General features: G+C 59.8%; 2 protein-coding genes and 1 long non-coding RNA gene across 26 annotated transcripts in view, besides 7 other annotated features; 2 read left to right on the forward strand and 1 right to left on the reverse strand.

Annotated features, from left to right (window-relative positions):
* Positions 1 to 13,765, reverse strand: VPS9D1 (VPS9 domain containing 1). 11 transcript variants are annotated; one of them, XM_047434932.1, is made up of 15 exons: positions 13,630 to 13,765; positions 11,894 to 11,969; positions 9,597 to 9,686; positions 9,329 to 9,491; positions 5,472 to 5,583; positions 5,327 to 5,389; positions 4,914 to 4,966; positions 4,749 to 4,836; positions 4,194 to 4,279; positions 3,453 to 3,877; positions 2,644 to 2,773; positions 2,094 to 2,302; positions 1,724 to 1,823; positions 1,294 to 1,398; positions 1 to 821 (listed from the first exon to the last, which is right to left on the reverse strand). In XM_047434932.1, exons 1-15 carry the CDS (start codon positions 13,726 to 13,728, stop codon positions 728 to 730), a joined length of 1,893 nt encoding a protein of 630 aa, XP_047290888.1. In that variant the 5' UTR covers positions 13,729 to 13,765; the 3' UTR covers positions 1 to 727. The 11 variants fall into 11 exon arrangements, with proteins under 11 accessions (XP_047290888.1, XP_011521778.1, XP_047290887.1 ...); XM_011523476.4 differs by having other exon boundaries at positions 2,644 to 2,776; XM_047434931.1 differs by having other exon boundaries at positions 2,644 to 2,815.
* Positions 3,554 to 4,117: an enhancer, noted in NCBI's record as "H3K27ac-H3K4me1 hESC enhancer chr16:89777095-89777658 (GRCh37/hg19 assembly coordinates)". NCBI's record gives its function as "activates a minimal SCP1, AML or CMV promoter by ChIP-STARR-seq in naive and primed H9 embryonic stem cells {active_cell/tissue: H9 hESC(naive and primed)}" and the evidence as "EXISTENCE:reporter gene assay evidence [ECO:0000049][PMID:30033119]".
* Positions 4,555 to 4,974: a silencer, noted in NCBI's record as "silent region_7922". NCBI's record gives its function as "represses an Ori minimal core promoter by ATAC-STARR-seq in GM12878 lymphoblastoid cells {active_cell/tissue: GM12878}" and the evidence as "EXISTENCE:reporter gene assay evidence [ECO:0000049][PMID:35858748]".
* VPS9D1-AS1 (VPS9D1 antisense RNA 1) lies at positions 4,723 to 11,032 on the forward strand. The gene is made up of 4 exons (NR_036480.1): positions 4,723 to 5,089; positions 5,556 to 5,685; positions 9,338 to 9,771; positions 10,211 to 11,032. It is a non-coding gene; the product is annotated as a VPS9D1 antisense RNA 1 (long non-coding RNA).
* Positions 5,615 to 5,714: an enhancer, noted in NCBI's record as "active region_11419". NCBI's record gives its function as "activates an Ori minimal core promoter by ATAC-STARR-seq in GM12878 lymphoblastoid cells {active_cell/tissue: GM12878}" and the evidence as "EXISTENCE:reporter gene assay evidence [ECO:0000049][PMID:35858748]".
* Positions 11,977 to 12,146: an enhancer, noted in NCBI's record as "experimental_46687 CRE fragment used in MPRA reporter constructs". NCBI's record gives its function as "activates a minimal promoter by MPRAs in K562 erythroleukemia cells, with activity observed for both the introgressed and non-introgressed 16:89785603 or rs79957186 variant alleles {active_cell/tissue: K562}" and the evidence as "EXISTENCE:reporter gene assay evidence [ECO:0000049][PMID:34662402]".
* Position 12,062: a transcriptional cis regulatory region, noted in NCBI's record as "Neanderthal adaptively introgressed variant 16:89785603 (GRCh37/hg19 assembly coordinates) or rs79957186 in the experimental_46687 CRE". NCBI's record gives its function as "modulates activity of the experimental_46687 enhancer by MPRAs in K562 erythroleukemia cells {active_cell/tissue: K562}" and the evidence as "EXISTENCE:reporter gene assay evidence [ECO:0000049][PMID:34662402]".
* Positions 13,235 to 19,814, forward strand: part of ZNF276 (zinc finger protein 276) — a 20,558-nt gene continuing 13,978 nt past the window's right edge. For 6 of the 14 annotated variants that reach the window (NR_110129.2, XR_007064929.1, XR_933484.3 and 3 more), the window contains exons 1-4: positions 14,404 to 14,712; positions 15,398 to 15,701; positions 16,004 to 16,050; positions 16,127 to 16,576. Coding sequence is in view for 8 of the 14 variants with exons in the window: in NM_001113525.2 (NP_001106997.1) it covers positions 14,508 to 14,712; positions 15,398 to 15,701; positions 16,004 to 16,050; positions 16,127 to 16,576 (1,006 nt within the window). In the remaining 6 variants the exon portion in view is untranslated. Of the gene's footprint in view, positions 13,450 to 13,868; positions 14,144 to 14,403; positions 14,713 to 15,397; positions 15,702 to 16,003; positions 16,051 to 16,126; positions 16,577 to 19,814 lie in introns of those variants that run through there. The other 8 variants (NR_110122.2, NR_110126.2, NM_152287.4 and 5 more) reach the window with 3 other exon arrangements.
* Positions 13,372 to 14,491: a silencer, noted in NCBI's record as "silent region_7923". NCBI's record gives its function as "represses an Ori minimal core promoter by ATAC-STARR-seq in GM12878 lymphoblastoid cells {active_cell/tissue: GM12878}" and the evidence as "EXISTENCE:reporter gene assay evidence [ECO:0000049][PMID:35858748]".
* Positions 14,572 to 15,031: a silencer, noted in NCBI's record as "silent region_7924". NCBI's record gives its function as "represses an Ori minimal core promoter by ATAC-STARR-seq in GM12878 lymphoblastoid cells {active_cell/tissue: GM12878}" and the evidence as "EXISTENCE:reporter gene assay evidence [ECO:0000049][PMID:35858748]".

Genomic DNA, 19,814 nt, shown 5'->3' on the forward strand with positions numbered 1-19,814 from the left:
CACAGCAGTGAGCTCTTTATTTTAGGCTGGGTGGGGGCAGCATGTGACAGTCAAGAGGGCTGACCCTTGGGCTGCACGGACCTAGATAAGATGCCCAGGGTCCCGGAATGTTCACAGCCCACAGCCAAGGTGAGTAAGGGGCAGGGAATGTCCTGGGCTCAGAGCCCGAGACCCTGCAGGGGTGTCCCTGCCCATCAGCAAACAGCATACCCTGACACCAGCTGCACCCCAGGCCCCAGCCGGCCCTTGTTCCTGACCCAGACAAGAAACTAGTTCATGGGGCTACAACTCCCCTTCTAGGGGTCAGAGGGGAGAGAAACTGGACTGCCGTCTCCACTGCTGGCCGGCTCATGGCCCCCTCTTCCCTGATGCTCCCCAGGAGCTGCCCCAGCCAGATGTTCATCGCTGAGCCTGCACCCACCGAAGCCCAAAGCTTCCCTTCTTGGCCTCTCTGAGGCCTACACAGGAGAGCAGGGCCTGGTTCCTCCTGGAGCTGATTCAGCCCCATTCTGTCGGGGCAGAGGTGCCAACCCCAAGCTCCAGGGTCAGATGTGAGGTGAGGAAGGTGAAGAGCTGGAGAGCACACCACAGTGGACAAGCCCCCACCATGTGCAGAGCAGCGTGAGGCTCCAGGATGGTCCTCAGTAGATCCCATGGCTCCAGGTGTAGGAGAGACAGCCCTGGGAGGCGAGGCCAGGCCCTGCAGGGACCCTGGGCTCTAGCTGTACTACTTGGCCAGGCCTCCCCGGGGCAGCAGCTCCACGTAGCTCAGGGCACTCTGCAGTGATGTGAGGCAGTAGCCCTCCTCTCCGATCAGGTACCTGCATGGATGGCAGGGGCAGCCGGTGTCATCTGAACGAACAGAAGGATACCCCCGGCCCTCCAGAAGGTAGTGTCTGCCCTCCCAGTTCAGGACCTGGGTGCTGAGGGTGGGCAGGTGGGGCTGTCAGGGCGGCTGGGCTAGAGGAGGCCTTTCCCACCCACTATGTGCTCGTCCTTGGACGGTAGAGCCAGGGATGGCACTGGATCCTTATCCCCTCCCCAGGCAGATGCTGCTCAGGGGACAGCCCCCAGCTCCTGCTGTCTGGGAGAGGCTGAGCTAAGCGAAGGGCCACGGGACATGTGGCAGCAGGCACTCTGCACAGGTGGACCCACAGGGGCTGCCCGAAGGCATGGCTGTGACGGAGCCACACGCTACCCTCCCCAGCTGCTACTGACAACCACCGTTTAGGTTGAGGGATGAGGTCCCTGCTCTTCGCACAGAGACCCCCACCCTGACCCGCCAGGGTCTACCCCTCGTGGATGAACTCCTCCAGGGCCGCGCACTCCGACACCAGCTGAGGGAGGCCGCTCCTCAGCACCACGAAGGACAGGATGGGCAGCAGGTCATCGGCACCACTGTCGGGAGGGCATAGCGGCCTTGGGTTGGGGCCAGGAGCCTCTCACTCCGCAAACCCAGCAGCTGTGGAGCCATCCTGGCCGTGCTGGCCGCCATCTCTGTGCCCTTCTGCGCAGAGGCACCGGAAGGCAGCTGGGCATGGTGAGGCTGTCCCTAAAGGGAGCTCCCGTACTGCGGAGCCAGGGCTGGGCCCACACGGCCCTCCTGCTTCTACAGTGCAGCCAGCTGGCACAAGGCTAAGGGGCAGGAAGATAGTCCCTCCCGTGACCATTGCCTTTCTAGGGCCCTTCCTCCCTGGCCACACCTCGCCCTCCTGGGACTCACATGGCAGCTGCAGCGATGGGCGGGGGCCCGGCCTGGGGTGTGGCCTCTGGGGTGGGGCAGTAGTCTTCCGCACAGACACAGATGATCCGCAGGGTCCGCACTGCGCCCCAGACAGGGTTTCAGGGGCAGTTAACCCCGTCCAGCAGCCTGAGCCACCCCTTATACCCCGCCCACCCACCCACCTCCTGATGTGCACGGCTGGGAAGAGCCACGGTGACCCTGGCGATGTTGCTCAGACACCACTTTTGTTCTGGTCCCCCAACCTCCCCACCGGCACGTGACAAGAGAAGCTCAGTGGTGAAGACACAGGCTCCAGGTCACCTACTGGGATGGGAGCCTGTCCCTCCCCCTGACTCTCGAACCTGCTGACCTATGCACTCCAGCTTCTTCTGGGGGCAGCTCTCCAGGACCAGCAGTCCGAGCTCCTGGGCCGCCGCGCAGTAGGGGTAGCCAGTGGCCCCCTTGGCCTCAGGGTTCTGGGGGAGGAGCTTGGTGGGGATGCCAATGGCGGTGGGGGGTGCATTCCTGTAGAGCTCCATGCTCCTGCTCAGGGCAGCCTCCCGGGCTCGGTGCACGCTCCTGGGGCAGAGAGAGGCCAGGCTAAGCTGCCCCAGGGACCTTGCCCTGGGGACAGAAGCAGGGCTGTGGCTGGAGCTCAGTCCTGGAGAAAACTGGCTATGTATCTCAAGCAAAAAGCCCCAGCGTTGCCAAGACCCCAGGCACGGGAGAGTGGCAATAATCCTACCTGCAAACTGGAAGCCCCTGAGGATGGCCTCAGGGTAAAGCACAGGCTAGGGGGAGCAAACACGAGTCTTGGGGATGGAGGGGAGCAGACAGTGCCAGGGAGCAGGGCAGGCCTCCTGGGGGACTGGGCTGGAAGACACTAGGCCACGCAGGTGGTTGTACAGCTGGGTCCATACCTGTACAGGGCCAGCAGCAGAGGCCACAGCGGGGAGAAAAAGGGTTCCTCAATGCAGGCCAGGCAGCGGTCCTTGGAGGCAGCTGTGTTTAGGCCTTCGAAGGCCAGAAGGGTCAGCGAGAGCAGCCTGTCTGCTAGGAACAGAGCCGGGGACGTCCACAGAGGCTCCTCCCCTGCTGGGTCAAGTGGCTCTAAGCCACGGGGCCTTTCTCCGCCCAAGAAACCTCTTTCCACCGCCTTCAAGCCTCCTGCACCCACCCCTGACCCTCCTCGGCCCAGGGCAGGGAGTCCGGGACTGGAAACGGTCACCTACAGCTGCTGCCCTGTTGGGCCAGCAGCCTGAGAAGAAACCGGAGAATGATCCTTTTCTCAAAAGGGGCTTTACCCAAAACTGCAGGAACCAGGGAAGACTTTAGATCCAACCCCCTGTGGGTGGGGACCCTGACCAAGTTCCTTAGTGTGTGGGCAGCACAGTGAGAATGACGCCTGGACTGTTGGGCCTCCCTCAGTGGTTCTTAGAAAACTCTGGGCTGGGCGCGGTGGCTCATGCTTGTAATCCCAGCACTTTGGGAGGCCGGGGTGGGCAGATCAACTGAGGTCAGGAGTTTGAGAACAGCTTGACCAACATGGTGAAACTCCGTTTCTACCACACTGTTTCCAAAATGAGAAGGGCTGAGGCGTGAGCTGGGTGGATGTAAGTCTGATCAGAGTCTCTGATCAACAGACCCTTCCCCAAACAGAAGCTTGAAACGGACCAATAAGCAGGGGTGAAGAGCTGCGGCGGCTCTCCCAGGGAGGGCCTGGCCTCACCTACGGCATTGTGGATCTCCTCCACCGCGGTCTTCAGCTGCTGCAGCTGGGGCTCCGGCTGTACCCCACGGCCCCGGCCCTGCCGCTCAGACGTCCCCAGGAACTGCTCCAGGTCCTCGAACGAGCTGTCCTTGTCTGGCAATCCAGATGCGGTGTCCCCCAGGGGTGAGGGAGACCCCACGGGGCCGGGTTGGAGTGGGGGCGTGGGGGGACTGTCCTGGGGCCGCGGGGCTGCGCTGGGCTCGGGCGGGGACAGCATGCAATGGAGGCTCTGCGAGGGCCGCAGCCGTCGGCTTCCGGGGTTGGGGGTCGGGGGGCAGCAGCCTGGGGCTGGCGCGGCTGCTCTGCTCACGGCGGGATACAGGGCGCTGTACACGGAGCACTGCAGCCGCCTCAGGAGCTGCGCGATCGGGTGGTCGGGGAGGCTGCGGGAGAAGAGGACGTGAGAACGCGGCCAGCCTCGGCCTCTCCGTGGCATCCACAGGTGCCGCGCTATGCCCGGTTTCAGAGAAGCGACTTGCATTACCTCCTGACAGTGAATGTTGGAAAGTCTGCCCCCCGCCCCCGCTGGGGAGGTTGGAGAAGCCGAGGAAACGCCCTCAGCGCAAAGGGAGCTGCAGTGTCCACGTGGCCGGGCACAGGCTCCCTGTGTCAGTCCAGCCCCTCTCCGGCACCTGGCACCAGGCAGAGGTGCCCAAGGCCGGTGCGCAGGGGCTCTGTGGGGCCTGAAGGCCCAGCTACCTGAGCAGGTGTGAGACCAGGCTGGTCACGAGTGACAGGTCCCCCGGATTCCTCTTGAGCTTGGCCTTCCAGTGCTTCGGCCAGTCCTACGGGACAGGGGGCCTTGAAGGAAAGCACGGTGGGTCCGCCACGACCGGACGCGCCTCATCTCCCACCAGTGCCGACCCCTAGAGACTGTGGGAGCCCGTCCTGGGGTGCAGGAGACCCAGCGCCAGCAGGCCCCGCGACCCGCCCCCGCCCCCACCCACACCCGAGGGAAACCTTAGGCGAACCCTGGGCCTGCACCCTCGCTGGGACCCTCCCTCCTCGCAGGGACCCTCCCTCCTCGCTGGGACCCTCCCACGCGACCCCTGACCTCGCCTCCTCGCTCTGCCCCGCCCCACGCAGCCCTGGCCCCGCCCCCTCACCGGGCCCTCCCACGGGCCTCTGGCCCCGCCCCCTCACTGCCCCCCACAGCCTCTGGCTCCGCCCCCCACGGGGGCCCACCCAGGCGGCTCTGACCCCGCCCCCCTCGCTGGGCTCCTCCTACAAAGCCTGGGCCCGTGGGGGACGCACATGGTCCTGTTCGTACTCCAGGATGGCGGCGTAAAGGGCCCGCTGCTCCCGTTCCTCCGGGGTCAGGGCGACTTGGCTGCAAAACCTCCTGGGGAGAAAGGCACGCGGTGGGTGCCGGGGCCAGGCCCTCCCCGCAGCGGCCCCAGGGGCGGGCAGGAGTCCCACCTGTTGGCGGCCTCCTGGAGCCGCAGCCGGCGCTCCTCCATCTTTCTCTGGAGCTGGGTGCAGAGTCAAGGGGCCGAGCGTGGGATCTGAGCGGGCCCTCGGTTCCCAACCCCGTCCCACACCCGGAGAGGCCGGGACGTCCCAGGGACCTCCTCTCGGTGAGGGGCTGTCCCCAGGTAAGGCTTCTGGGGCAGAAGGCAGCCTGCGCTCAAGCCAGGAGGGCCGGGCCAGAGAACATGGGGGACGGCGGCCGGGCCTTCCCCTGAGACCCTGCCTCTGCAAAGCGGGGAGCCCCTCGGCCCTGTACCCCGACCCCGGAACCTCCGCTCCCCTCGCTGCCCCCTTCTCTGCCCTTGGCTCAAGGCCACACTGAGTTTCCCCTCGGGGACCACCAGGGCGGTCAGAAAGGCTGCTGTCTCCTCCCGGGCTTTGGCAATCACTAGGTTCTCCATCATCTGCCGCTGTAGAGAGAGGGTCTGGGGGGGGAGGAGGGAGTAAGGCCGACTCCCCTCTGCCCCGCGCCCACGCACCCCCAGGCCCTCCCTAGCCCCCACTCACCAGGGATGTCTTCTGCATGGCCTGGCTGGGGTCTAGCCGCGCCATTCGGGCCTCATACGCAGCCTTCAGCTTCTGATTCTGCAGGGAGGCCTCCTCCAGTGGCGTCAGCTCTCTGGAAATGTGACAAGCTGCTGTCTAGACCCCAGGAAGCCCAGTGGTGTCTGGACACCAGAGGAGTCTCTCTCATCCTCCCGGATTGCTCTGAGGCCAGGAGGTGAGGAGAAAGAGGAGGGGAGCCATCTGGGGTGGGCTGCAACATCTGCCCCTTCTTGCCTGCCCTTCCAAAACACAGGTTTTGGCCAGGTGCAGTGGCTCCCGCCTCTAATGCCAGCACTTTAGGAGGCTAAGGCCGGGCGGATCACCTGAGGTCAGGAGTTCGAGACCAGCCTGGCCAACATGGTGAAACTCTGTCTCTACTAAAAATACAAAAATTAGCTGGGCATGGTGCACACTTGTAATCCCAGCTACTCGGGAGGCTGAGGCAGAATAGCTTGATCCCGGGAGGTGATGCAGTGAGCCGAGATCTGGCCACTGCACTCCAGCTGGGGTGATAGAGTGAGACTCTGTCTCAAAAAAACAAAACCAAAACAAAAAATAACAAAAAGAAAGAAAACACAGGTTTTGGTATTGCCAGGACTTTTGGTTTTTCTTTTTTTCTTTTTTTTTTTGAGACGGAGTCTCGCTCTGTCGCCCAGGCTGGAGCGCAGTGGCGCAATCTCGGCTCACTGCAAACTCCGCCTCCCGGGTTCATGCCATTCTCCTGCCTCAGCCTCCTGAGTAGCTGGGACTACAGGTGCCCGCCACTATGCCCGGCTAATTTTTTGTATTTTTAGTAGAGACGGGGTTTCACCGCATTAACCAGGATGGTCTTGATCTCCTGACCTCGTGATCCACCCGCCTCGGCCTCCCAAAGTACTGGGATTACAGGCGTGAGCTACCGCGCCCGGCCGGACTTTTGGTTTTTCAAGAGAAGCTGGACCACTGGACTTCTATGGAGATCCGTTATATGTGTTTGGCAACAGTATGAATCTTGTTAAAGCAAGCTTGTGCAACAATCCGAGGCTGTATGACTTCGAATGTGGCCCAACACAAATTCCTAAACTTTCTTAAAACATCACTGAGGGCTGGGCACGGTGGCTCACGCCTGTAATCCCAGCACTTTGGGAGGATGAGGCAGGCGGATAATGAGGTCAGGAGATTGAGACCATCCTGGCTAACATGGTGAAACCCCGTCTCTATTAAAAATACAAAAAATTAGCCGGGTGTGGTGGCATGTGCCTGTGCTCCAGCCTGGGTGATAGAGACTCTGTCTCAAAAAATCACTGAGGTTTTTTTGCAAAATTTTTTTTTTTGAGTCAGTCTCATTCTGTCGCCCAGGCTGGAGTGCAGTGACACAATCTCAACTCACTGCAACCTCCGCCTCCTGGGTTCAAGTGATTCTCCTGCCTCAGCCTCCCGAGTAGCTGGGATTACAGGCATGTGACACCACGCCCAGCTAATTTTTGTATTTTTTAGTAGAGATGGGGTTTCATCATGTTGGCCAGGCTGATCTCGAACTCCTGACCTCAGGTAATCTGCCCGCCTTGGCCTTCCAAAGTGCTGGGATTACAGGCGGGAGCCACTGCGCCCAGCCTTGCAATTTTTTTTTTTAAGCTCATCGGCTGTTGTTAGTGTTAGCGTATTTTATGTGTGGCCCAAGACAATTCTTCCAGTGTGGCCCAGGGAAGGCAAAAGATTGGACACCCCTGCTTTAAAGGCACTATGTGGGTCAAACAGCCAGATTAGTCTGTGACCCATGAAAGGAAGAAGTGTCCTGTCTCCTTTATACAGTTCCCAACAGCCACTCCACCTTGAAAGCTTTGTTCCCTCGTACCTTCCCACTGTCAGGGACAATGGAGGACAAGGAGGAAAGTCAGAGCCTGACGCCTGGCCACCCTGCCCTGAAGCCACATTGCAGAAACAAGGGGACTGGGAAGCCAGGCCCCGCCAGAGCAGGGGCAGGAGGAGTGGACCCTTCTCGTCTCTCCCACTTGGGAGTCACTGGGCTTTTTGCATTTGTGTCTTTGTATCTTTCATCAGTTCTAGACAACTGTCTGCCATTCTAACTTCTAATAATGCCTCTCTCCCATTTTCTTTCTTCTTTTTTTTTGAGCCGGAGTCTCGCTCTGTTGCTAGGCTGGAGTGCAGTGGCACGATCTTGGCTCACTGCAACCTCCACCTCCTGGGTTCAAGCGATTCTCCTGCCTCAGCCTCCCAAGTAGCTGGGGTTACAGGCACGCGCCACCATGCCCAGCTAAGTTTTGTATTTTTAGTAGAGATGGGGTTTCACCATGTTAGCCAGGCTGGTCTTGAACTCCTGACCTTGTGATCTGCCTGCCTTGGCCTCCCTCCCATTTTCTTTCTGGAACTCCAACGAACACGTTAGGCTTTCCATCTCTTGTTTTCTGTCTTTATTTTTTGTTTCTGTAATTCATTCTAGCTATCTTTTGACCTTTTTTCCAATACATGAATTTGCTCTTCAGCTATATCTGCTCTGCTGTTATAAACTTGTCTGCTCAGTTTTGTATGTATGGATTTCTACATATATATAGATATATAACTCATCCTTGTTCCCAGCTAAATTTTTTTTTTTTTTTTTTTGAGATGGAGTCTTGCTCTGTCGCCCAGGCTGGAATGCAGTGGCGCAATCTCAACTCACTGCAACCTCTGCCTCCTGGGTTCAAGGGATTCTCCTGCCTCAGCCTCCTGAGTAGCTGGGACTATAGGTGCCCGCCACCACGCCCAGCTAATTTTTTGTATTTTTAGTAGAGATGGGGTTTCACCTTGTTGGCCAGGATGGTCTCGATCTCCTGACCTCATGATCCACCCACCTCGGCCTCCCAAAGTGCTGGGATTACAGGCGTGAGCCACCGCGCCCGGTCATTTTTTTTTTTTTTAGACAGAGTCTCATTTTGTTGCCCAAGCTGGAGTGCACTGGCACAATCACGGCTCACTGCACCCTCAACCTGTCAGGCTCAAGTGAGCCTCCCACCTCAGCCTCCCTAGTAGTTGGGACTACAGGGGCACACCACTATGCCTAATTTTTTTTGAGACGGAGTTTCACTCTTGTTGCCCAGGCTGGAGTGCAGTGGCACAATCTTCGCTCACTGCAACCTCCACCTTCCAGGATCAAGCGATTCTCCTGGACTCAGCCTCCTGAGTAGCTGGGATTACAGGTGCACACCACCACGGCCAGCTAATTTTTGTATTTTTAGTAAAGACGGGGTTTTACCATGTTGGCCAGGCTGGTCAGGAACTCCTGACCTCAGGTGATCTGCTCGCCTCGGCCTCCTACAGTGCTGGGATTACAGGCGTGAGCCACCAGGCCGCCTGCATTTGCTTGTGTCCGGCCAGGGGATATTCCCATTCTGGGACTCATTTTAAAAACATTCGCTGTCAGGCCAGGCGCAGTGGCTCATGCCTGTAATCCCAGCACTGTGGGGGCCGGGCGCGGTGACTCACGCTGTAATCCCAGCACTGTGGGAGGCCGAGGCAGGCGCATCACGAGGTCAGGAGATCGAAACCATCCTGGCTAACATGGCAAAACCCCGTCTCTACTAAAAATACAAAAAATTAGCTGGGTGTGGTGGTGGGCGCCTGTAGTCTCAGCTACTTGGGAGGCTGAGGCAGAAGAATGGTGTGAACCCGGGAGGTGGAGGTTGCCGTGAGCCAAGATTGAGCCGCTGCACTCCAGCCTGGGTGACAGAGTGAGACTCTGTCTCAAAAAACAAAAAAAAAATCGCTGTCATCAGCTCATCTTTCTCAGCCTCAAAAACCCAATCCCAGGCTCATCCCACCTCCCATCTTGTCCATCTTACTTCTTACAGCTTTGTGACTCTGCCCCCTGAAGCTTCTGGAAGATCTCGGGTGGCAGAAAAGGAGAGAGCTTTCCTCCTTCATCGGAGTATACACGGCGGTGTCGGCCGGCAGGCTGGGGAATGGGAGCAGCTGCAGGCATGGTTGGCTTCAGGCGTGTTTTCCCTGCAAGCCATGGGTAACCAGGGGTCAAGCGGTGGGCCACATCCCACAGAGGAGATGCGGGCTTGGGGGATGCCCCAGGAGAGCCGCCTACTGCAGGAGACCCACCAAGCTTGGCGGCCGTCGACTGGGCCCTCTCCAGACACTGCTGTGCTAGCTTCAGCATCTTGGAGGTGTCGGGGGGCACAGTTTCCCCAGCTTCTGGGGGAGGGACAAGAAGGCTGGTCACAGTCGGCTCTACCACTGTTACTTACTGCTGAGATAAAATGAGGCAACGGAAAAGGCAGGCAAGCCCACTGCCCCCCTCAGCACCCCCACTGACCCCGGGCAAGCCCACTGCCCCCCCATCCCCTCACTGACCCTGGGCAAGCCCACTGCCCCCCCATCCCCTCACCCCGGGTAAGCCCACTGCCCCTCCCGTCCCCCAACTGACTGACCCTAGGCAAGCCCACTGCCCCCCCATCCCCTCACCCCGGGTAAGCCCACTGCCCCTTCCACCCCCCACTGACCCCGGGCAAGCCGACTATTCCTCATGGACCCCAGGCAAGGCCCCTGCCCCCACCATGGACCCCAGGCAAGTCCCCCCACCCACGCATTTCTAATCATCTGCCCTGGTTTTGCCTCCTGAGTCTGCTAAGGCTGTGGGCCCCTCATCGAGGCCCGTCACAGCCTCGACCCTAAACAGGCCTTTAGTGCTCACTCAGCTTCACTTGCAACTGCAGGCCTCTGGGAAGTGGCCGTTTTACAGAGACAAGGACGTGCTGAGGGGATCGCCTCACCCATCTCCCACCGGCTGTGTCCCCAAAGTCCTGCCTTCCCGTAGCTTGGCATGGAGCACCTCTGCGCGACCATGGACCTGCTCACACAGCCCTTCTGCGCGCCGTGGGAGCTGCCTCTCTGTGACTCGCCCCTGGACCCACCGCCCCAGCGCCTGACCCACCTCCCTGCTGCCCTTCACAGAAAACTTCTCATAGACTCCCATTTTCTCATCCCGCCCCGATTTAGCCCCCGACTCCCCCCGGAAACTGCCCTTACCCGTCCCCACCTTGCCAGACACGGTGGGCCACTGGAGTTCCTCTGTCTTCTGGGACTTTGCTCTCCCCAGGGGATCCTCTGCCACTCCTCCACCCAACTCCTCAATCTTGGAGCGCCAGAGCTCAGCCGAGCTCACCGGCTCCCTAGGGAGCTGGGGCAACTGTTAGCTCCCCCTGACCTGTGTGATCCTACGTCCAGTGGCTGCCCCGACCTCTGTGATCCCACGTCCAGGGGCTCCCCCGACCTCTGTGATCCCACGTCCAGTGGCTCCCCCGACCTCTGTGCTCCCACGTCCAGTGGCTCCCCCGACCTCTGTGCTCCCACGTCCAGTGGCTCCCCCGACCTCTGTGCTCCCACGTCCAGTGGGTCCCCCTGACCTCTGTGATCCCACGTCCAGTGGCTCCCCCTGACCTCTGTGCTCTATGTCCAGTGGCTCCCCCTGACCTCTGTGATCCTTTGTGCAGCGGCTGCTGGCCTCTCAAACTTAATGTGTTCATTGCGGAACTTGCTATTCCTCTCCTTGCCAGTTTGCTCCTGCCCCATCTGCCTCCTGCAAGTCTGCTCTGTTCCACCTTCAGGACGCACCCCGAGGCCGTTTACTGCTCCCATCCTGGGTGGTCTGGCCACTGCCATCCTCAGTCCTCACCTGAGGCTCCACTCCCAGGCTGTCCTCTCCCTCAAAGCTCAAAGTCTCTTCAAGTTTCCCTGCACACCAGAACGGCCCCAGTTCCACCCAAGGCATGCACACAGCCCCACCCCGCCCACTCCTATTTCAGGGCCTTTGCACACCCCACAGCTGGAATGCTGCCCCACGTCTGTGCCGCTCACTGGAGCCAGTGTCTTGCCACACCCCAGTCTCCATCTTCTTATCCACAACGCTGGTCCCTTCCTGCCACTATATCACACTGAGTGTGGGCTGGTCCACCTACTACAAATGGTCAGGCTAGAAGGATACAAGAGACCCCCGCCGAAGCCTGGCACCCATCAAGGGCTAGGATGCCCACAATTTGTCCAGCATGGAGGAAGCAGCAGGGCTCAGCCATGCCTTTTTCTTTTTCTTTTCTTTTTTTTTTTTTTGAGACGGAGTTTCGCTCTTGTTCCAGGCTGGAGTACAATGGGGTGATCTCGGCTCACTGCAACCTCTGCTCCCGGGTTCAAGCAATTCTCCTGCCTCAGCCTCCCGAGTAGCTGGGACTACAGACACCCGCCACCAGGCCCAGCTGATTTTTTAGATTTTTAGTAGAGACGGGGTTTCACCATGTTAGCCAGGATGGTTTCGATCTCCTGACCTCAGGTGATAGCCCGCCTCTGCCTCCCACAGTGCTGGGATTACAGGCGTGAGCCACCGCGCCCGGCTGGCTGAGCCGTACCTTTAGTGGTTTCCACTTCTTCTAGTAACACCTGGGAGATATAGTGGATGCTCCTCAGGTATTCCGTGTATGCCTCCTGTGTCCAGGAAAGAGAAAGAGTGGGGTCAGGCCAGTGGAGGGAAGTGACTCCATTATTCCGGCCAGGTGCCCTTGTGGGATAAGCAAGGAACACCACCACCTGCTTATCTCTGAGATACACCCAGAGACATTGAGCCTGCGGTGGTTAGCTGCAGCCGGAACACGGTTTTCTGCGCAGGGCACAGGCAGCATCGCTGCTCTCCAGACTTGGAAAAGACATCAGGACCTGAGAGAGAGAGAGAGCCAGGGACGAGCTGGACCTCATTTTCTCCTCTGACTGCCTTTCTCTCCAGCACAGGAACTGATATTCTCATTCAGTGGGCCTGGGGAAGTGACCTCAGCAGTTTGCTGTCATTTTTCATTCTATGCAATGTTTCCTTCTTGTGCAACTCAAGGGTGATTCATTCAGTGGCTTAAAAAAATACTTTTCTGAGAGGATAAAGGGAGTGATACTGGAAGTTTTCAAATCACTTCCCGGTTTAAGTTCCGAGAAATCCCTTTCCCAGAACCTGCGAGTTACGTATTTCCAGTGCACACAGGAGCCTAGAACTGTTACCTTTCAAGGCTGTGTGACCCCTCTGACAAGGCACAGGTCATTGGAACCACAGAATGGTGGTTTGTTTTGTTTTGTTGAGACAGAGTCTCACTCTGTCGCCCAGGCTGGAGTGCAGTGGCAGGATCTCGAGTCACTGCAACCTCCGCCTCCTGGGTTCAAGTGATTCTCATCCCTCAGCCTCCCAAGGAGCTAGGATTACAGGTGTGCACCGCCACACCCAGCTAATTTTTGTATTTTTAGTAGAGACGGGGTTTCACCACGTTGGCCAGGCTGGTCTCAAACTCCTCACCTCAGGTGATCCACCGCCTGGGCCTCCCAAAGTGTCAGGATTACAGGCGTGAACCACAGCGCCCAGCAATATGCTATGTTTTTTTGTTTTATCCCTAGCTGTTAAGTTTCCTATCTTTAAGTCTATGCCTCAGAGAGAAAGACGAAATATAATCCAGGCAGGATTTCTGACTTGCGGGGGCACCTGCTGCCCTAAAAACCAACTTGGGGAAAGCAGCAGATTCAGGAACGAGGCTTCTCCTAGGCACAGGCAGGCTCCTTCCCTCCTTGGGCAGCCGGGTGTGGCTGGGCCAGCTTCTCTACCTGGTCGCCAACCTTAGATTCGGCCCCATCTCAGGAACGGGCCACACCCCTCCGGCCTGCTTTTCCTTCCTAAGACGACTGCAAACAGCATCACAAATGAGCAGGTATGTGGCCTTCTCTGCATGCCGTCCCCTGTGGCAACCGGATTAAATCTACCATCTCTGCCCAGAAAAATGCACGAACGCACGGACCTGCCCGTCACTCGGATTTTGGAAGGTGGCCTGGCGGACCCTCCTGCTACATCTCCTCTACAGGTGGAGCCCAGGCTGTGATGCACCGGCTCAGCGAGCGGAGTGGAAAGCCAAGGTCCGCAGGATCTGAGCTGTCCAAGGTCACTGCACGCCCGGCTGCGCCCCGCCCCCGTCCTCGCCCGGGAACCGCGGCCCGGGATCCCGGCTGGCGCCCGCTCCCAAGTCTCCAGCCCGAGCCGGCCCCGTCCTCGCCCTCCCCGGGCGGGGGTCCCTCCAGGGGCCACCCTCAGCGGCCAAGCCCCGCCCCCGCCCCGCCTCACCCGGGGCCGGTTGCCGGTGTCCAGCTCGATGGCCCCGTTGGCAAGCTTCATGGCGCTCTGCAGCGGCTTCACCGTGCCGTCCCCGGCCGCAGCGGCCATGGCGCCGAGCGGGGGAGGCGGCGGCGGTAGCCGAGGGGCTGGACGGGCGACCGGAGGCCCGGAACGCAGCCGGCGCTGGTGCTGGAGCCGCCCGAGCAGCGGACCGCAGGAAGGGACGCGGCCGCACTTCCGGCGACGGGCCCCCTCCGCGCGTACTGCGGGCCCCACGGGTGTTAGTGGCGGGGGCGGCAGAGTCCGGGTGGGTTGTCGCGACGGAGCCGGGCCTCTTCGCCGTCTTGAGACGGGGCTGGCGAGAAGGGCCCCTCACGGAGTTGCCATGGGCGTCTAACCGCGGCAGCCAGGCCCCTCTCTACGTGAGACCCCGGCCCCCCTCCCCTTTCTGCAGCCCGCCCGCCACCTGCGCGCCGCGTGGCCTCCGCCGGCGCCTGCCCGCCCCGCGCCTCCGTCTCCCACGGTAAGAGGCGGTGAGGGCCGCGTCGCCTCTCCCTGGAGGACTCGTCGTGAGGTGTCGGCGAGCCCCTCCGCCCACCGCCCCGCCCCAGGCCAGCGCTCCATTGGCGACAGAGGCGGGCACGGCCGCCCTCGGGCCCGAGAGGGGAGCGGTACGAGCGGGGGCGCTGGCACCGCGGGTGGAACCTCGGCCGGCGGGGTCCCGCCCCTGGCCCCTGGCCCGCCCCGCCCGCCTCGCTTTGCTTCTCGCTCCGCCCCTCCCCCGCCCCGCCTCGCTTCCAGCGCGCCGAGCGGAGCCTAACGCCGGGTCCTCTAGGAACCTCGGGCCGGGCAGCACCCGCGGGATTCTGCTGGCGTCCTCCGCTGCCATGAAGCGGGACCGGCTGGGCCGCTTCCTGTCTCCTGGGTCGTCCCGACAGTGCGGGGCCTCGGACGGCGGCGGCGGCGTCAGCCGGACTCGGGGCCGCCCTTCCCTTAGCGGTGGGCCGAGGGTGGACGGGGCGACGGCGCGGCGCGCCTGGGGCCCGGTGGGGTCCTGCGGGGACGCGGGCGAGGACGGCGCGGACGAGGCAGGTGGGTCCGCGGCCCGGGCGTGGCGGGTTGGGGTCGCGGCAGGGGTTGCTCGTGGGAGGAGCCGCACTGACGCCCGGAAGCCGGCGCGGCCTCTCCTCCACCCGGCCAAGGGCGTAGCGGACTCGGGGCTGCGTCGGGATAGGCGCTGGGCGGCCGGCTCGGTTTTCCTCGCGCTCCGTGACGCCGGCGTCGCCGGCCCGGCCTCCCCGGCCGCGGGCTCGGCCAGAAGGGACCCGGCGTGAGGAGCGCTGTCACCGCGGGCAGGTCGCCCTGGGGTGCCCGCGCGTGGGAATCGCCCTCCCCTGCTTCGTGCCCTCGCGGAGCCGGAAAGGAGGCGGCACCTGCAATTGGCAGACAGGAAACCGCGGCGTTTCCTGGAGGGCGCAGCGCCTGCCCCGGGTCTCGCGGTCGCTGGGAGGAGGGTGCAGTTCCAGGTTTCACTCTTGAAGTTGCTTCGCTGGAGAGGCCTTAGAGGCCTTTGAAATTTGAAAGATTTCTTGGACCAGCGGCCACATCCCCCACAGGGCGGCTTGTCCCGCCGAGAGCCGCGCGCCCGAGCCGCTTGCTGTGTCCGGGAGCCGCGCGAAGGGCGCTGCAGGCGCTGCCCTCGGACCTGGAGTCCGGGACGCCCTGTGCTCAGGAGCCTCCTTTGCCAGCTGCTAACACTTCCTGCCGCTCTGTGCAGGAGCAGGCCGGGCTCTCGCCATGGGTCACTGTCGCCTCTGCCACGGGAAGTTTTCCTCGAGAAGCCTGCGCAGCATCTCCGAGAGGGCGCCTGGAGCGAGCATGGAGAGGCCATCCGCAGAGGAGCGCGTGCTCGTACGGGACTTCCAGCGCCTGCTTGGTGTGGCTGTCCGCCAGGACCCCACCTTGTCTCCGTTTGTCTGCAAGAGCTGCCACGCCCAGTTCTACCAGTGCCACAGCCTTCTCAAGTCCTTCCTGCAGAGGGTCAACGCCTCCCCGGCTGGTCGCCGGAAGCCTTGTGCAAAGTACGCCCTAGTCTGTTCAGAGCACGTTCAGGCTGTCAGTACTGCAGTGTGACGGGTGTTGAGAGAGGGACAGGGCGTGCCTCCGCGGGAGCCTCTGGGTGGGGGGAATGGGCCATGCCCGGGTTCAGTGCCAACAGCCCTGGGACTGTTGTGGAGAGATGAACTGGGAGGAGCTGGGGTGAGGGAAGAGAAAGTTGCCTATGGGGACCGCTGAGGTTTGAGATCTCGAGAGGGTCCCGTACGACGAGCGCTGTGAACCTCCGCCTGCTTGTCCTGCTCATGGCCACACTGATCCTTTGCAGGGTCGGTGCCCAGCCCCCAACAGGGGCAGAGGAGGGAGCGTGTCTGGGTGAGTCCTCCCCCGGTGGAGGGTGGGCTGGGTGCCGACCAGCCGTGGATCTGACATCTCTGTTGACTCTCTGCAGTGGATCTGATCACATCCAGCCCCCAGTGCCTGCACGGCTTGGTGGGGTGGGTGCATGGACATGCGGCCAGCTGCGGGGCCCTGCCCCACCTTCAGAGGACACTGTCCTCCGAGTACTGCGGCGTCATCCAGGTCGTGTGGGGCTGCGACCAGGGCCACGACTACACCATGGATACCAGCTCCAGCTGCAAGGCCTTCTTGCTGGACAGTGCGCTGGCAGTCAAGTGGCCATGGGACAAAGAGACGGCGCCACGGCTGCCCCAGCACCGAGGGTGGAACCCTGGGGATGCCCCTCAGACCTCCCAGGGTAGAGGGACAGGGACCCCAGTTGGGGCTGAGACCAAGACCCTGCCCAGCACGGATGTGGCCCAGCCTCCTTCGGACAGCGACGCGGTGGGGCCCAGGTCGGGCTTCCCACCTCAGCCAAGCCTGCCCCTTTGCAGGGCCCCAGGTAGGAGGCACCTCTTGCTGGTGCTAGACCAGGATGTGTGCTCCTCAGTGGGGCAGGGTTTTCAGCAGAAAGTGAATGTCTCCACTGCTCTAGGTGGTGGCTGGGGTGTGGTGTGAGAAGGAGCAGAGCTTGGGGCTTCTGCCTGCGGCTGCTCACCACATCCAGAGAGCAGGGAGGGGCGGCCAGCCTGTCTCCGCCTCTTGCTCCTCTGTGAGCAGGGCTCTGTTCCAGCAGTTTCTGTGGAGACACGCTCATCAGCCGTCGAGTCTTTTTCTAAGCCTGTGCTTGGGGCTGAGGGGACTGAGGAAGAGGGAAGAATAGGGCCTTGTCTGTGGATGTGGGAGAAAAGAATGGCCGTTGCCTCTGCGGCTGCTGCCCTGGGCCAGCTGCAGGTCATTTCCTGGCACTCAGCCAGCCGCCTGGTGACACCCTGGTGTGGGCCAGTGTGGCGCAGCTTTCTCTGCTGACAGGCTGAGGGGAAACACAAGGCCCTTGTTTGGGCCCCAGAACCCATAGCACTGTGGGCTGGTGCAGCTGCTCCTGGATGTTGTTTTAGGAGGGCCAGGGCCAGTTTCCCTCCGGCCTCTTGTCCTGTGTGTGCTCTGTGCACCTGTCCCCACCTGAGCACTCAGTTCCCACTTTGAGTCTTGAGGGGAGCTTCCGAAAAGCGTAGCTACCTGTAATCCCAGCACTTTGGGAGGCTGAGGTGGGTGGATCACTTGAGGTCACGAGATCAAGACCAACCTGGCCAACATAGCGAAACCCCATCGCTAATAAAAATACAAAAACTAGCCAGGTATGGTGGTGGGCATCTGTAATCCCAGCTACTCTGGAGGCTGAGGCACGAGAATCACTTCAGCCTGGGAGGCGGAAGTTGCAGTGAGCCGACATCGCACAACCGTACTCCAGCCTGGGTGACAGAGCAAGACTCTGTCCCAAACAGAAACACAGCTACCCAGATAGTTTAGCTAGATACGGGTGCACAGATGAGACAGTGCGGCTCGGGGGCCTCAGGTAGGAACGGGATTGTGAGTGTCACATCTTAGAGCTGCTTGGCTCTGTAAACTTGTATGCAGTGTGTTGAGAACAATTCTATCTATCTGTGTATCTATCTACCTACCTACCTATCTATCTTCCTACTTCTTTGTCTCTCTCTATCTACCTACCTATCTGTATATCTATGTATCTACTTATCTACCTATTTATCTATTTATTTACCTACTTATCTATCTATCTATGTGTTTATTTATTTTTGAGACAGAGTCTCGTTTTGTAGCCCAGGCTGGAGTGCGGTGGTGCCATCTTGGCTCACCGCTACCTCAGCCTCCCGAGTAGCTGGGATGACAGGCACATGCCACCACGCCCACCTAATTTTTGTATTTTTAGTAGAGATGGGGTTTCACCATGTGGGCCAGGCTTGGTCTCGAACTCCTGACCTCGTGATCCACCTGCCTCAGCCTCCCGAGTAGCTGGGATGACGGGCACGTGCCACCACGCCCACCTAATTTTTGTATTTTTAGTAGAGATGGGGTTTCACCATGTTGGCCAGGCTTGGTCTCGAACTCCTGACCTCGTGATCCACCTGCCTCAGCCTCCCGAGTAGCTGGGATGATGGGCACGCGCCACTACGCCCACCTAATTTTTGTATTTTTAGTAGAGATGGGGTTTCACCATGTTGGCCAGGCTTGGTCTTGAACTCCTGACCTCGTGATCCACCTGCATCAGCCTCCCAGAATGCTGGGATTACAGGTGTGAACCACCGCGCCCAGCCAAGAACAATACTTTTTAAAACTTATTTTAGGCCAAGTGCAGTGGTTCACGCCTGTAATCCCAGCACTCTGGGATGCTGAGGTAGGCGGATCACGGGGTCAGGAGATCGAGACCATCCTGACTAACACGGTGAAACCCCATCTCTACTAAAAATACAAAAAATTAGCTGGATGTGGCTGTGGTTGCCTGTAGGCCCAGCTACTTGGGAGGCTGAGGCAGGAGAATCGCTTGACCCTGGGAGGCGGAGATTGCAGTGAGCTGAGATTCTACCACTACGCTCTGGCCTGACCGACAGAGCAAGATTCTGTCTAAAAAAGAAAAAAACAAAACAAAGAAAACTTATTTTAAGTAGAGACAGGGTCTCACTCTTTTGCCCAGGCTGGTCTTGAATTTCTGTCTTCAAGTGATCCTTCTGCCTTGGCCTCCCAAAAGGCTGAGATTATAAGCATGAACCTTCAGGCCTGGCCGAGAGAACAGTAATATTTATTTATTTATTTATGGAGTCTCGCTCTGTCGCCACCAGGCCTGGCCGAGAGAACAGTATTATTTATTTATTGATGGAGTCTCACTCTGTCGCCCAGGCTCGAGTGCAGTGGCACAATCTCGGCTCACTGCAGCCTCTGCCTCCTGGGTTCAAGTGATTCTCCTGTCTCAGCCTCCCGAGTAGCTGGGATTACAGGCTTGTGCCACCACACCCTGCTAATTTTTTTGTATTTGTATTTGTATTTGTTTTGAGAAGGAGTTTCACTCTTTGTTACCCAGGCTGGAGTGCAGTGGCACGATATCAGCTCACCACAACCTCTGCCTCCCAGGTTCAAGCGATTCTCCTGCCTCAGCCTCCCGAGTAGCTGGGATTACAGGCATGCACCACTATGCCTGGCTATTTTTGTATTTTTTAGTAGAAATGGGGTTTCTCCATGTTGGTAAGGCTGGTCTCGACCTCCCGACTTCAGGTGATCCGCCCACCCCGGCCTCCAAAGTGCTGGAATTGCAGGCATGAGTTACCACGCCCAGCTCAATTTTTTGTATTTTTTGTAGAGACGGGGTTTAACCATGTTAGCCAGGTTGGTCTTGATCTCCTGACCTTGTGATCCACCCGCGTCAGCCTCCCAAAGTGCTGGGATTACAGGCGTGAGCCACTGCACCCGGACTGAGAATAGTAATTTTTAATTATTTTATTTTTTTGAGTCGGAGTCTTGCTCTTTTGCCCAGGCTGGAGTGCAGTGCGCGATCTCGGCTCACTGCAATGTCTGCCTCCCGGGTTCAAGCGATTCTTCTGCCTCAGCCTCCCAGGTAGCTGGGATTACAGGTGTGTGCCACCATGCCCGGCTAATTTTTGTATTTTTAATAGAGATGGGGTTTCACCACGTTGGCCAGGCTGGTCTCGATCTCCTGACCTCGTGATCCACCTGCATCGGCCTCCCAAAGTGCTGGGATTACAGACATGAGCCACCGTGCCTGGCCTAGT

The sequence above is a fragment of the Homo sapiens genome, chromosome 16 (assembly GCF_000001405.40).
Source record: "Homo sapiens chromosome 16, GRCh38.p14 Primary Assembly".
Classification (NCBI taxonomy): Eukaryota; Metazoa; Chordata; class Mammalia; order Primates; family Hominidae; genus Homo; species Homo sapiens.